The 12133-nt window shown below is 37.8% G+C and overlaps 1 long non-coding RNA gene across 1 annotated transcript in view, besides 2 other annotated features; it reads right to left on the bottom strand.

Moving 5' to 3' along the window:
- The window catches only part of LINC00499 (long intergenic non-protein coding RNA 499), a 114634-nt gene that overhangs the window by 16382 nt on the left and 86119 nt on the right, over positions 1–12133 (bottom strand). The window lies entirely within an intron of this gene.
- Positions 2284–2343: an enhancer, noted in NCBI's record as "active region_21913". NCBI's record gives its function as "activates an Ori minimal core promoter by ATAC-STARR-seq in GM12878 lymphoblastoid cells {active_cell/tissue: GM12878}" and the evidence as "EXISTENCE:reporter gene assay evidence [ECO:0000049][PMID:35858748]".
- Positions 9049–9671: an enhancer, noted in NCBI's record as "OCT4-NANOG hESC enhancer chr4:139319446-139320068 (GRCh37/hg19 assembly coordinates)". NCBI's record gives its function as "activates a minimal SCP1, AML or CMV promoter by ChIP-STARR-seq in naive and primed H9 embryonic stem cells {active_cell/tissue: H9 hESC(naive and primed)}" and the evidence as "EXISTENCE:reporter gene assay evidence [ECO:0000049][PMID:30033119]".

Genomic DNA, 12133 nt, shown 5'->3' with positions numbered 1-12133 from the left:
TAATTTAAACTCTTGGTTTAATATTGTCATTTTATGCCTTATGCTTACACCTGCATTTTAATAAATGCAACACAGTGTGCATCTCCTGGTGTGTCTCTGGGGATATGCTTTTTATCCTTTTGTTATTTTGCATTGATTTAGAACTACCTTTTCTCTGGGTCATTTGTGGTGTCATAAGTTCTGTCTTTAAGTGATGGCAATAATACAGAGAAAATTTTCTGTTAATGCCGAGCTATTATTTAAAAGAGATAATAATAATTCTTCATGAGAATCTCTACAACACCTTCCTGGGAGGCCAGGAAGAGGCATTTTAGATGATTCCTTTTTAGCAGCTTGGGGACATGAAAAGACTTGTAGTTTGATGCTTTCTTATGTCCGTAGGTGCAGATGAAATGCGATAGTGTAATCAGTAATCCTTGACAGTGATGACAAGGATGTGTGTTCTGCCTGGGATAATTTCCATGAATTCAAGGGCTGTCATTGAGTTTGGCCTGGGCATGACAGCTTCTTCTTGAGGAAGCCATCGTGTACCCTGATATCACCATTTTCTCTTCCAAGAAACAGCTGATATATTGAACAGAGATGACTTGTGGAATATAGTCAAGAAGTAGCTTAAATGTTCTCTCCCTCTATCCTTTTAAATGTAGTTTGTAAGTTTAGCCTTTTCATTTCTTTGTGAAAAGTTAGGCAGATTCCATGATGTTTCTGGTCACTGTTGAGTAATACAGTTTTCTTGTTACTTCAGGTCACAGAAAACTGCCCCAGTTTAGTAATTTAACTGTCAGAAGCATGTGTTTGTAAAAACTTTGATCTTGTGTTAAAGTTGAAGTTTTTTTCCTTTCTGGCAGCTTGAGTCTGCTGTGAGTGGGAAGCCAGAAGTTGAAGTAGGGGTGGAAGAGATTTATTACCTAGTCTAATACTACTTCTACTCCTTCTCCAATTCACCGGCAGAGTTTTCTGGCTCTTCAAGGATTGGTGCCAGGAAGGAAGAAGTAAGAAAGGCAGCAAAGATGTTACTTCACAGCTCCTTGTGAGGTGATCTAGCATTTTGGCAGTTGTTTACAGCTGACAACTTGACAGATGGTCACAGCAGACTCTTTTGTGGGGGCTTTTGTGAATTTTCTGTAGTTCTCTGTAAGATCTCAAGCAGGGGTCAGCTTGCTCTTTGCAGTATGATCAGTAAATGTGTCTTCTCTGAAGCAAATGATCCCCCTTCTCACTTTGTGGCATATCCTATGAATTCTATCCAGTGCCTGATGAATGTGTGATAATCAATTGATGACAGATAAAGAAACACTGCCATAAACTGAGTTGGTTAATCAATATAATGAAAGAGTTTATACTGATAGGATGTATGGGATAGAAGAAAGCACACATCAACACAATGATAAATAATATTGATATTGCAAGTAGACAGGAATAGTAATGATGGAATTGAAGTCATCTGCAAGGGGCAAAGACAAAAAGGAAAATAAGAAAGAAGGGCATATAGATAAAATTGCATTGTCAAGTGAAAAGAGAATATGTTTAGGATTGTCTGACAATCAAAAACTGTTTAAAAGAGGAAGTTATACCAGCATATTGCATTTGTGGTTAGGTAGACAATAATTTCACAACAGCACATGACTCAATAGGCTTGAACAGCACGAAGTGTCTGCCCAAATGCTACTAAGAATTTAGGCAGTCAATAAAACAGGGAAGAAAAAAGTGAATGGACATTTTTCTTTTCAAGAGAAGCTTTATATGCTTCTTTTAAAAGGATGGAAGTATGTTATAAACAGAAATTAAATGGTTGAAATAGGGTTTAATTTAAAGACAGTAAGACCATCAATATGCTCATTAAATACCAGTTGGCTATTAGAAACCTGTTTAATGAGATTTACCAACCACTAAAACCATCATGTCTGTCAGTTCAGCAGCCATTAAATATCAGTAATTTTGTTTGTTATGGAAAATACAGTTAAACTATTCCAAGAGAGTCAGAAAGTTACAAATAACAATGAGTAATATAATATTTGTTGAGTGTTTATAGCAAACTAGCCACTACTCTAACATTTTCCTGAACACAATTTCCTTTAGTACTCACAAGGTCAGTGTCACTGTGTCCTATTCATAGTTAGGGGAACTGAGGCCTGGGCAGTGTAATTAACTTACCTAAGGTCACACAGCCAGGCAGTGGGTTGAAGCTTAAACTCAGGCAGTCTGACTCCAGAACCCACATTCCTAACCAATGAGTTACCCAATGGTACCTGTCATAAAATATATCCAGCAGTCTTAGGGCAAATCTAATAGTAGCAGCCTTACCTGCTAGAGGCTGGTGATCTGATTTTCAGCCCAGACCTCCATGTGGTCTTTGTCACACTGGTGGCAGGAGTCAGATGGTCTCTTGCAGAAAGAACTGTGAGAGAGTCACCTGTCACAGGCCCTTGCTTTCACTTCTGCACAGTTTCAGCCAGATCAAGGACTGGAGACAGGAAAGCAGGGCTCCTGAAGTTTTGACCCTCCTAGCTCTTTCTTTGTCTCGGATTTTTAATTCTTTCATCACCTGCAGTCTCTCAGATCTACTTTCTCTTTGGTCACTACCCAAAGCTCTCTTTCTTACCATCCTGCATCACCTCGTTTTGTATCTTCCATTTTGTTTGTGGCCTGGGGTGCAGGTGGGCAATGGTATAGGGGAGAGCTTGTCTCAAAGATTCACTGATTCCTGAGGGCAGAGTGTGTTTGCAGAAGGCTGAAAATGTGCACGAAGACCCCCTGAATGTTTTGCATCTGTGGTATTGTATTATGGTTAACATTTTGGGGGCAAATTGTGAATGGTGAAAGCTTAAAAAAAACCCAACTAATTATGAAAGGGAATGTTGTGCTTACATAATTATTGCTTGTCAAAACTGCGCTTAATAAATACAGCCCATAGCAGGATTTTATTCTCTGCATTACAGTTAATAATTAATCCTCCAAACTTATTGTCTACTGCTAATAAACACATACCAAGCTTATTACTCTCTCTAAATTCTTGCCCAATATGTCAACTTGTTTCCTTCTTATTTCTTTTCTCTTACCCCTAATTTTTAAAAGTTGAAATCCATATTATTTCATACTGCTCAATAATGCTTCTAAAAACTTTTTTTCCTAGAGTTTTTCTACAAATAGAAGTGTTGAATAATAAAATTATAATCATATCTTTATCTTTCACTTGGCTAGATTTTGGATTATGCCCTTAGGTTAAGAACTGTATCTTTTGCACCTCAATACAGTGCCAATCACATTGCTACACTTTACAACTAAATAACAACCTTAGTACCAACATATATGAGGTCTTATTAACCTTAACTCTGAACTTATACTTTTAAGGAAATAATTATGCATACACACTAGACTATGTGGGAGTCCAAAGTCTGGAAAAAAATATAGCAAGACCTTTATGTAAGATACTCAACCAAACATATTCAGCTAAAATAAAATACCCAATTCTAGAAATAGCATGTAGTGGATGACACCAGTAAGCTAAACCAGATGGCTTGTATGACAATGTCCTGTGTTAGAGATTCTGAAGTCACCCTTTGGGAACCCATTTCATTGCCTAATATTGAAGTTGGAAAGAAACTCTTTGCATCTGATCTTTATTTTCCTTTATGTAACTAAGTCTGTTTCTTCTTGGACTGTCTATCTGGGAGGTAAAAACAGTTGATTCTTAAAAGAACTCCTCCATTGGTCAGAGTACTCTCATTAAGTCAAGTTTATATTTCTTTCTTTAAGCCAAATAAAAACTCTTGTTATTCATAGTTGCTGATGGGGTAGTTTGCCACATGTATGAAGAGGGCCGCACAATGCACTACATGACGTAAGTTTCACACCTGTGATCTGTGGATAAGTGAACAAGTTCCCAATATTTTCTGTCACCTGGAATGTGCTGATTTAATTGATAAGATTTTCTACCCTGGCTTTCAATTTCCCAGTTTTTAGAGATCCACAGCAGATGATATTAAAGAACCGAAACAATGGCGGTGATAGAACTAACATAGATGCTTCAAAGAGGAATAGTTTATTCTTTATGGTGCAGACTGACACATGTTTTTAGTAGATCTAGTTGATTATCAGCCCACAAGCTTTATGTTTGCTTTTGCAGCTGTTCTATCCAATGACGGAGCCACTAGACCCATGTAGCTTTTTAAGTTTAAAATAGCTAAAATAAAATAAAAATAAAATAAAAAATTTGGTTCTTCAGTCATGGTAGCTACATTTGATTACATGAGGGTAATGGCTGACATATTGGACAGTACAGTTATGGCGCATTTCTAACATTTCAGAAAGTTCTGATGGAGGGTGCTCCTAGTATAGAACAACCCTGGTCTTCGGCCTGCATGCTTGTAGTGACACAGAAAAGTAACTTTCAAAGATCTCTACAACCTAAGACCATATCCTTAGGTTGTTGAGTGCATGGTAAAAGAATATTAGAGATGGGGAAATAATTTCTACCCCATAAACACATTCTCAACAGTAGGACAGACTTAACACAAGAGGGACTTAGAGAGCTTCTCTCTGGTCTCAGAAAATAGTCATCTTTTCCCACTTGACTGCTTATCCATATGGTAATTCTCTTCTTAGGAATTAGGAGAGCCATTGAGTTTTTCACTTTGTTTGCTTTATATTTTCAACATCATTTTATAATGAGTACTTTCTCAAATTCTTTTTTATTTTTATTTTTTGTGACAGGGTCTTGCTCTGTTGCCCAGGCTGGAGTGCAGTGATGCGATCTCGGCTCACTGCAGCCTCCACCTGTCAGGTTCAAGCGATTCTCCTGCCTCAGGCTCCCAAGTAGCTGGGATTACAGGCACGTGCCACCATGCCCAGCTGGTTTTTGTATTTTTAGTAGAGATGAAATTTCACCATGTTGGCCAGGCTGGTCTTGAACTCCTGGCCTCAAGTGATCTGCCCACCTCAGCCTCCCAAAGTGCTGAGATTATAGGTGTGAGCCACCATGCCTGGCCTGAAATTCTGTTAGAGAACATTCACAACCTCCATAATAAAGTAGTTTACTGTTATTTACAAGTCAACTGAAACAAGTTTTAATATTCATTTCTGTGATTTAAAACTCTTTCTTCATAACCCTTTAAATGTATGAAAAAGTGGGATTTTGTGGATTCTAAGGTAACATAATATTAGTAGAGAATGATTTTACTGTTTTTACCTTTGGGTTCTTGTATGATATGGTTTGGTTCTGTGTCCCCACCCAAATCTCATCTCGAATTGTAAAACCTGGATGTTGAGGGAGCGACCTGGTGGGAGGTGGTTGGATCATGGCAGCAGTTTCCCCTATACTGTTCTCATGCTAGTCAGGGAGTTCTCATGAGATCTGTTGTTTGATAGATGTCTAGCAGTTTCCCTTGTGTGCTCTCTCTCTCTCTCTCTCTCTCTCTCTCTCTCTCTCTCTCCTGCCACCTTGTGAAGAAGGTTCTTGCTTCCCCTTCACCTTCTGCCATGATTGTAAGTTTCCTGAGGCTTCCCCAGCCATGCAGAACTGTGAGTCAATTAAACCTCTTTTCCTTATAAATTACAGAGTCAAGTAGTATCTTTATGGCAGTGTGAGAGCAGACTAATACACCATATATATGTATTAATCTCAATGCTTTATTGTAAAAGTGAGTGTTAAGATTGTTTATAGGTGCTTTGCTCCTTCCCACATTTGGTGACAAGGCCCCTCACTGGTATCATGGCAGGCTCTGTACTAAGCAAGATATTAAGATGAAAATTTCATATTGATAATTAGAATGAAAAACATAAGCAATTGTTTGCCAAGTGAGTTACATCTGAGATTGCTCTCCTTAAATTTTTTTTAAATTCAATCTTGGTTTCTAATGAACAACCCTATAGAATTAGTAAATTATTTAAATAAGATTTAAGTAGACTTAAATACATTGCTGTTACTTGAAGAAAAAACAGTCTACTCAAGAATAACTTAATTTTTTCAAAGATAATATTTAAGATGGAGGAGTTATAAAGGAACATATATCTTTGATGTGACTTTAATACTCAAGAGTTGGCTGTTTAAAATCAAGATGAAAATACAGCTGTATTAATTTGGCTCCTTAGTAGCCTCCATCACTCTGCTTAGCACTTCCAGAGGTCTGTTTTCTTTCTTGTTTTCTCAGGTTGATGAACCCATTGTGACAAATGTTAGGGGGTTATTTAAATCCTTTAAAATGCTTCTCTGCAAAATGTGGTTCTTCTTCAGATCCTTAGCTACTGGTAAAAGTGTTTACATCTGGCCAAAACGTTGCCTCTGGGAATCCAGAGGGGTGAAAAGATGAAATGGCCAAGGGCAGCATCCTCATGCATTACATTATCACCTGTCACTATGTCTTAACGTTCTCTGTAAGAACAAGATGGCCCTCCCCACTCAGGCCAAGACCTTGAGCACTGGCCAGATGCCAAGCAGCTTGTTTGACCTCATTAAAATTGAGCGATCATGTAAATGTTTGGGTCTGAGGCCAAATCTCTTAGAGCTGTTTAAAATTTCTGAGGATATTATCATAAGACATTTGATTTGTGATCTTTTCTTAGTATTTTCTAGCTGGGCACTCTGAATGGAAATAGGCCAAGAGGGAATTAGATCTGGAAATTACTATTAAAAGCAAAACACGTACTAGAAAAAACACAGCCAATACATGGCTACTTATCTCACTCTTTTTTTCTCTAAAAACAATTCATGTTGTAAAAACTTAGCAAATATAATACTTAAAAATTATAGTTAAATGAAACTTGTGAACTACAAAAATATGGCGTTAGCTGGCCAGACAAGCAAGTGGTGTTTATTTTCAGGGAGTAGGGATTTGGGGTCCTGACAGCATCTATTTGATACTACGCTAACACAGAGTCATGACCTCTGCTTCCATGCCTATTCTGCTGAAGGTCAAAAAAGTGAATTTAGATTATATAGAAAGTGCAGTACAGGAGAACAGTGCAATTTCTCATGGCTTCATCAAGATCACGTGGGATTGGTAACTGCTTAGATTTTCTGAAGGCTGAAGATTTTCTTGAATATAAATCAAACTCCCATCTATGAAGGATAAATTTTTTACTTCCAGTTTAATTATTTACTGCCAAAGGACATGCTTCTGCTATTGCTTTGGTTCCCGTGAACTTCCCTGCACAGTGGTTCCGTCAAGTTGGTGCAAATGCCTCCACTAATTGGTGTCCTGCCCTGTTGTCCTCATGCTGAGTTCAGCATGAAGTCGGTCTCTCTCAAAGAACAGCCTTAGGGTGATGAAAGCTATGCAACACTACACAGCACAGACGTGCCATGCCTGAATGTGTTTGTTCAATCAGCATGGACACTTTTCAAACAAAATAAAACAGGTGACCAAATATGATTGTTATTTTTAACTTTCATAGAAATGATATTTGTGCTTTTGCAGATACCTATTGGCCATCAGTGACTCCAGTACTGTCTCCTAAAACTATCATCAGCCACAGTGGTAGCCAAAACACTGAGAAGGAATCCTCAGTCTTCACTGCCTACTGACTTCTTATGTTTATGGCAAGGTCCTTTTCAGTAATTTCATTTTATATCTGCACCTCTGTCTCCTTGTCTATAATATTATGACTTGGGACTATAAAATGACAAATGTTCTTTCTATATCTAAAAGCATAGGGTTATGTGACATAACTGGGTTACAGGATGGAAGAGAGAACTTAAGAAATAAGTTGAAAATATTGCTACATTGATTAGTGGAGATTTTATTACCATGAATTGACTTTTTTAAGTCATTGTCTTTCATAAAGAATTAAAGTGGGAATAGAAGAATAAGAATAGCAGCTTTCACCTTACCTTAACAAAATCATAACACCTCACATTTACACAATAACTCCTAACCTTTTTCTAAGTATATTACAAATTGTGAAGCACCATTACATACATGATGTGAGTTGAACTTCACAACCACCTGGTCTAGTGGGTGAATAGACCAGCTATTGTCCGGCATCTCAGAAAGGTCAAGTCAGAGAGATCAAGTGGCTAGTGGTAAGCTTGCATGAGTCCATTTCTTTTGTTACTAACACAATGACTGTTCCATGGTATGACCCTACCTTTATGCTTTATTTACTGCTAATAACCCTTCTAATACTTTTTCTGACTTAGAAAAAAATAGAACCTTGCTATATATAAGATGTGCATTTTCTTTTAGCTTCCTGAAACCATGTTTGGTTGGCTTTTCAGTGTATTTGACTTCTAGTTATATTTTAAAAATCAGATTGTAAAGTTGTTGTGGAAGCTATTTTGCTTTTACTTTGTTTTCAAAGATATGTGGAAAATGTTAACTTCTTAGAGATATAAGGGGAAAAATCCTACATGCCTATTATTATATTGGGTGACAATCTTAGAAAAGAATCTATATATGGCTAGTGGGTAGTGGGTATGGACCTTAAATTGTCTGTCAAAACCAACCTACCTTTTTAAATTTGGGGAAACATTGTCCCCTTAAGACATAATTATAGGAAAGAATATTAAGATCAGAATTACAGACTCCAGAGGAATGCATAGACTCTATTTTTTTAAGAAAAATTCATGAAAAACATGGTAATTAAATATTGAACAATCTTGGAAATTTTGCTTGCTGTGTGACTGTTATTTCTAGGAAGCAAAGAGGAAGAGTCAAATGTGAACATTCATGATTCATTCAGAAATCTAGACTCTGAGTTTTAACAATTATTTATACAACTTCTCAGGAAGTTTTTCCTGTAGCTGTGAAAACAAATCACAATTGACACCTCAAAAACACTAGTTCCCAAATTAAAAAATGGCTATTACAGTGCTTTCATGTGAAGGGATGTTTGACTTTCTGACAAACAATCTTTGTGGAGCTAAAAATACTCTAAGCAAGAGACAAGCATTTACGTGAGTTTATTAGAATCAAGCCAAATTATTCCATGTAATTTTGGTTTCTTGAAACTCTGGGGCAGAACTTTTGTTCCTCTAGGTTTAGACTCCTTACAGTAACATGGCCACTGTGTAAATAAATAAACACATTGATAAATAATATTTTCTGTTTTCAACCCCCCTCCACCCAAAAGACGTCTTCTTTAGGGAATCCACACTGGCTATTTTGAATGGCATTAACCCAATGTATTGATTCATTCTCTTGACTGAGTTGCCCTTTTTTAGTTTGGCCAAGTCAACCTTATTTTGAGAGGCAAGGAAAAGACTTTTATTCTTGTTTTGAAAATCTTGCTGATTTGCTGAACAAACCTCCAGCCTGATCTTTTTCTTTTGTAAGTTACATAAGTCATGCTGTGTGAACTAACATCTTGTCACTCATTGTCCTAAAGCAAGAGCCAAACTGGTGAGAAACCACCTACTGCTGAATATCAAGCCAGTGCCAAAAAGGCAACAGCTACATGCTGTTCTGTTGTTCCCTGAGTGATCAAACAATACTGAGAGCAAACAGGAACTTCAGCATCAGGAATCAAAGGACTTCCCTAGCCCTGTAGAGTGGAGAGGAGCAGAGGAGGGATTTTCTTTAGGTGAGGTGACACTATGCAAATAAAGGCACCTGTACTTTGTTTTCTGTTTAGGACCTTTGAGTACCATTAGAGGAGAAAACTTCAGGCTGATGCAATTTTTATTTAATGGATAGAGAAACAACAGAGGACCGCTGTTAGAATGTTTTTGCTTTGTATTTGGTGTTTACTTGTATGTATTTATGTTTAAACTTCTTATTTTTAAACATTTAAACATTTTTTTCTGAAAAGAATTTGAAGTATCTCATGTTTCAGTCTCTTATACACACACAAACATGTGCATACACACATACACATGTTACACATTTTAATTTAAGGCCTTCCATATTATCTTTTATAGATAAAACTGGACAGAATATTTTAGGGTACTAATCTTAACAATGCAGTTAATAAAAAACAATTGTTTTAATGTCCCTTAATCCCTTCAGAAGTTGTTTCTATTGGCCAAAACTTGGCAGAATTGATCTTTTTTTTTTTTTTTTTTTTTTTTTTTTTTTAATTGAGATGGAGTCTCGCTCTGTTGCCCAGGCTGGAGTGCAGTGGCATGGTCTCGGCTCACTGCAACTTCTGCATCCCAGGTTCAAGCAATTCTCTGCCTCAGCCTCCTGAGTAGCTGGGACTACAGGGGCCTGCCACCATGCCTGGTCCATTTTTTGTATTTTTATTAGAGATGGGGTTTCACCATCTTGGCCAGGCTGGTCTTGAACTCCTGACCTCACGTTCTACCCACCTTGGCCTCCCAAAGTGCTGGGATTACAGGCGTGCGCCACCGTGCCCAACCTGATCTTTTTTTTATAAGATAGTTAGCAATTAATAACTTTAAAACTATGTCCACTCACATTTTTAAGAATGATTGTTTGATGATGTAGAAAATAAAATTTCTATAACTGTATACCTCTTCAAAACTTTCACAGTAACACTATGGTTTAGAAGACACTAAAATGAATAGACAGGCAGAAGGGATGGTTTGTTGCTTCCAGTTAGTATTATTCATACTATTTCCATCATTTAGCCATTATTCACCTGCTGACTCTCAGTAACTTGTATATTCCTTACAGAATGAAAGCCTCACCAACATTTGGTCACAGGCCTCAGAGTATTAAAACTCTGATTAGATTTGGTATAAGGAATAGGTTCTTCATATTGCGGTCATAATGTCTAAAATATACAGAATTTCTGGCTTCTTTTCAGTATGTCATAGTTTGGGATGCTATAATAAAGTATTATAGACTAGGCTTTTAAAATAACAGATATTTATTTCTCCCAGTCCAGAAGCTGAAAGTTTGAGATCAGGGTGCCAGCATGGTCAGGTTCTGGTGAGGGCTCTCTTCTGGATTGCAAACTGCTGACTTTTCACTGTATCCTTACATGGTGAAGAGACAGCAAGCTCTTTGGGGACTCTATAGGGACATTAATCACCTTTATGAAGGCTCTAATCTCACAACCTCATGTAATCCTAATTACTTACCAAGAACCCTACCTCCTAATACCATCACATTAGGAGATGAGGTTTCAACATATGAATTTTGAGGAGATACCAGCATTCAGCCCACAACATAATGCTTTATGAGATGACCTCTAACAGCCTCATCGTCAGCTACATCTGTTTATATGTACTTTATTTCAGCCATATCAACTTATTTAAGGCTTCTATCCCATGTCATGCCACACTCTTTCATGTCTGTGCATTTGCGCAATGTTAGGGAATATTTCTTTCTCTAGTCTGGTGTTTCTATGATGAGGGAGGAAGTTCCACTAGAATAACATTCCTGACTTTATTTCCCTTTTCATATCCTCACACTCTTCACTCCAGAGCAGGTAGATTGTGGCTTCTCTAATCGGAGGGTTTGGAAAGAGAAAGTGATCATGAGTATGCCAGCTCCTTCTCTTTCTTTTTATCGGGAGCCGGTCCATTCTCCTTGGCTCCTCATGTTCTCCTGGTCCAGCATTGCCTGCAACTGGCTGTCTGACCAAATCACTATTAGAGTCTGCTTGCCCACAGATGCCACCAGTATCCTCCACCTGAGCCTCCTTTTAAGGTTTCCTTCGTGGCTCCTGTCTTAATCAGTTGGGGGTGTTGTAACAAACCACCATAGACATAGACTGAGTGGACTATAAACAACATAGATTTGTTTCCCACAGTTCTGGAGGCTGGAAGCCCAAGATCAGGGTGCCAGCACAGTCAGGCTTTCATGAGGGCCCTCCTCCAGTTTGCCAATTTCTTTCCGCACCATTACATAGAAGAAAGGGATGAAGAAATTTTCAGGGTCCCTTTTACAAAGACATCCCATTTATGACTCCTCCACTCATGACCTAATCACCTCCCAAAGGCCCCACCTCCTAATACCTCCGAATACCATCCCACTGGGGGTTAAGATTTCAACATGTGAATTTTGAGGGGAAACACTCAGTTTATAACAGTCCCCCTCTACTGTCTTCTTTGGATTATATCTCAATTGATTCTTATTTTGAGAAAAGGGGTGTTATTTTTGGGCTCCCATGAACCTACAACACATGTGTTGTCTTTTCTTGCTGTGTCTTTTCCTTTCTTTTTATCTTTTAAATATTCATCTCAGGCATCATTCCGTCTTGGTTTTCCTCCTTTCTTCTTCTGTGG

This window comes from Homo sapiens, chromosome 4 (genome assembly GCF_000001405.40).
Source record: "Homo sapiens chromosome 4, GRCh38.p14 Primary Assembly".
In the NCBI taxonomy this organism is placed as follows: domain Eukaryota; kingdom Metazoa; phylum Chordata; class Mammalia; order Primates; family Hominidae; genus Homo; species Homo sapiens.
Note: the sequence above shows the minus strand (reverse complement) of the source record. Positions and strands in the feature narration are given on the sequence as shown.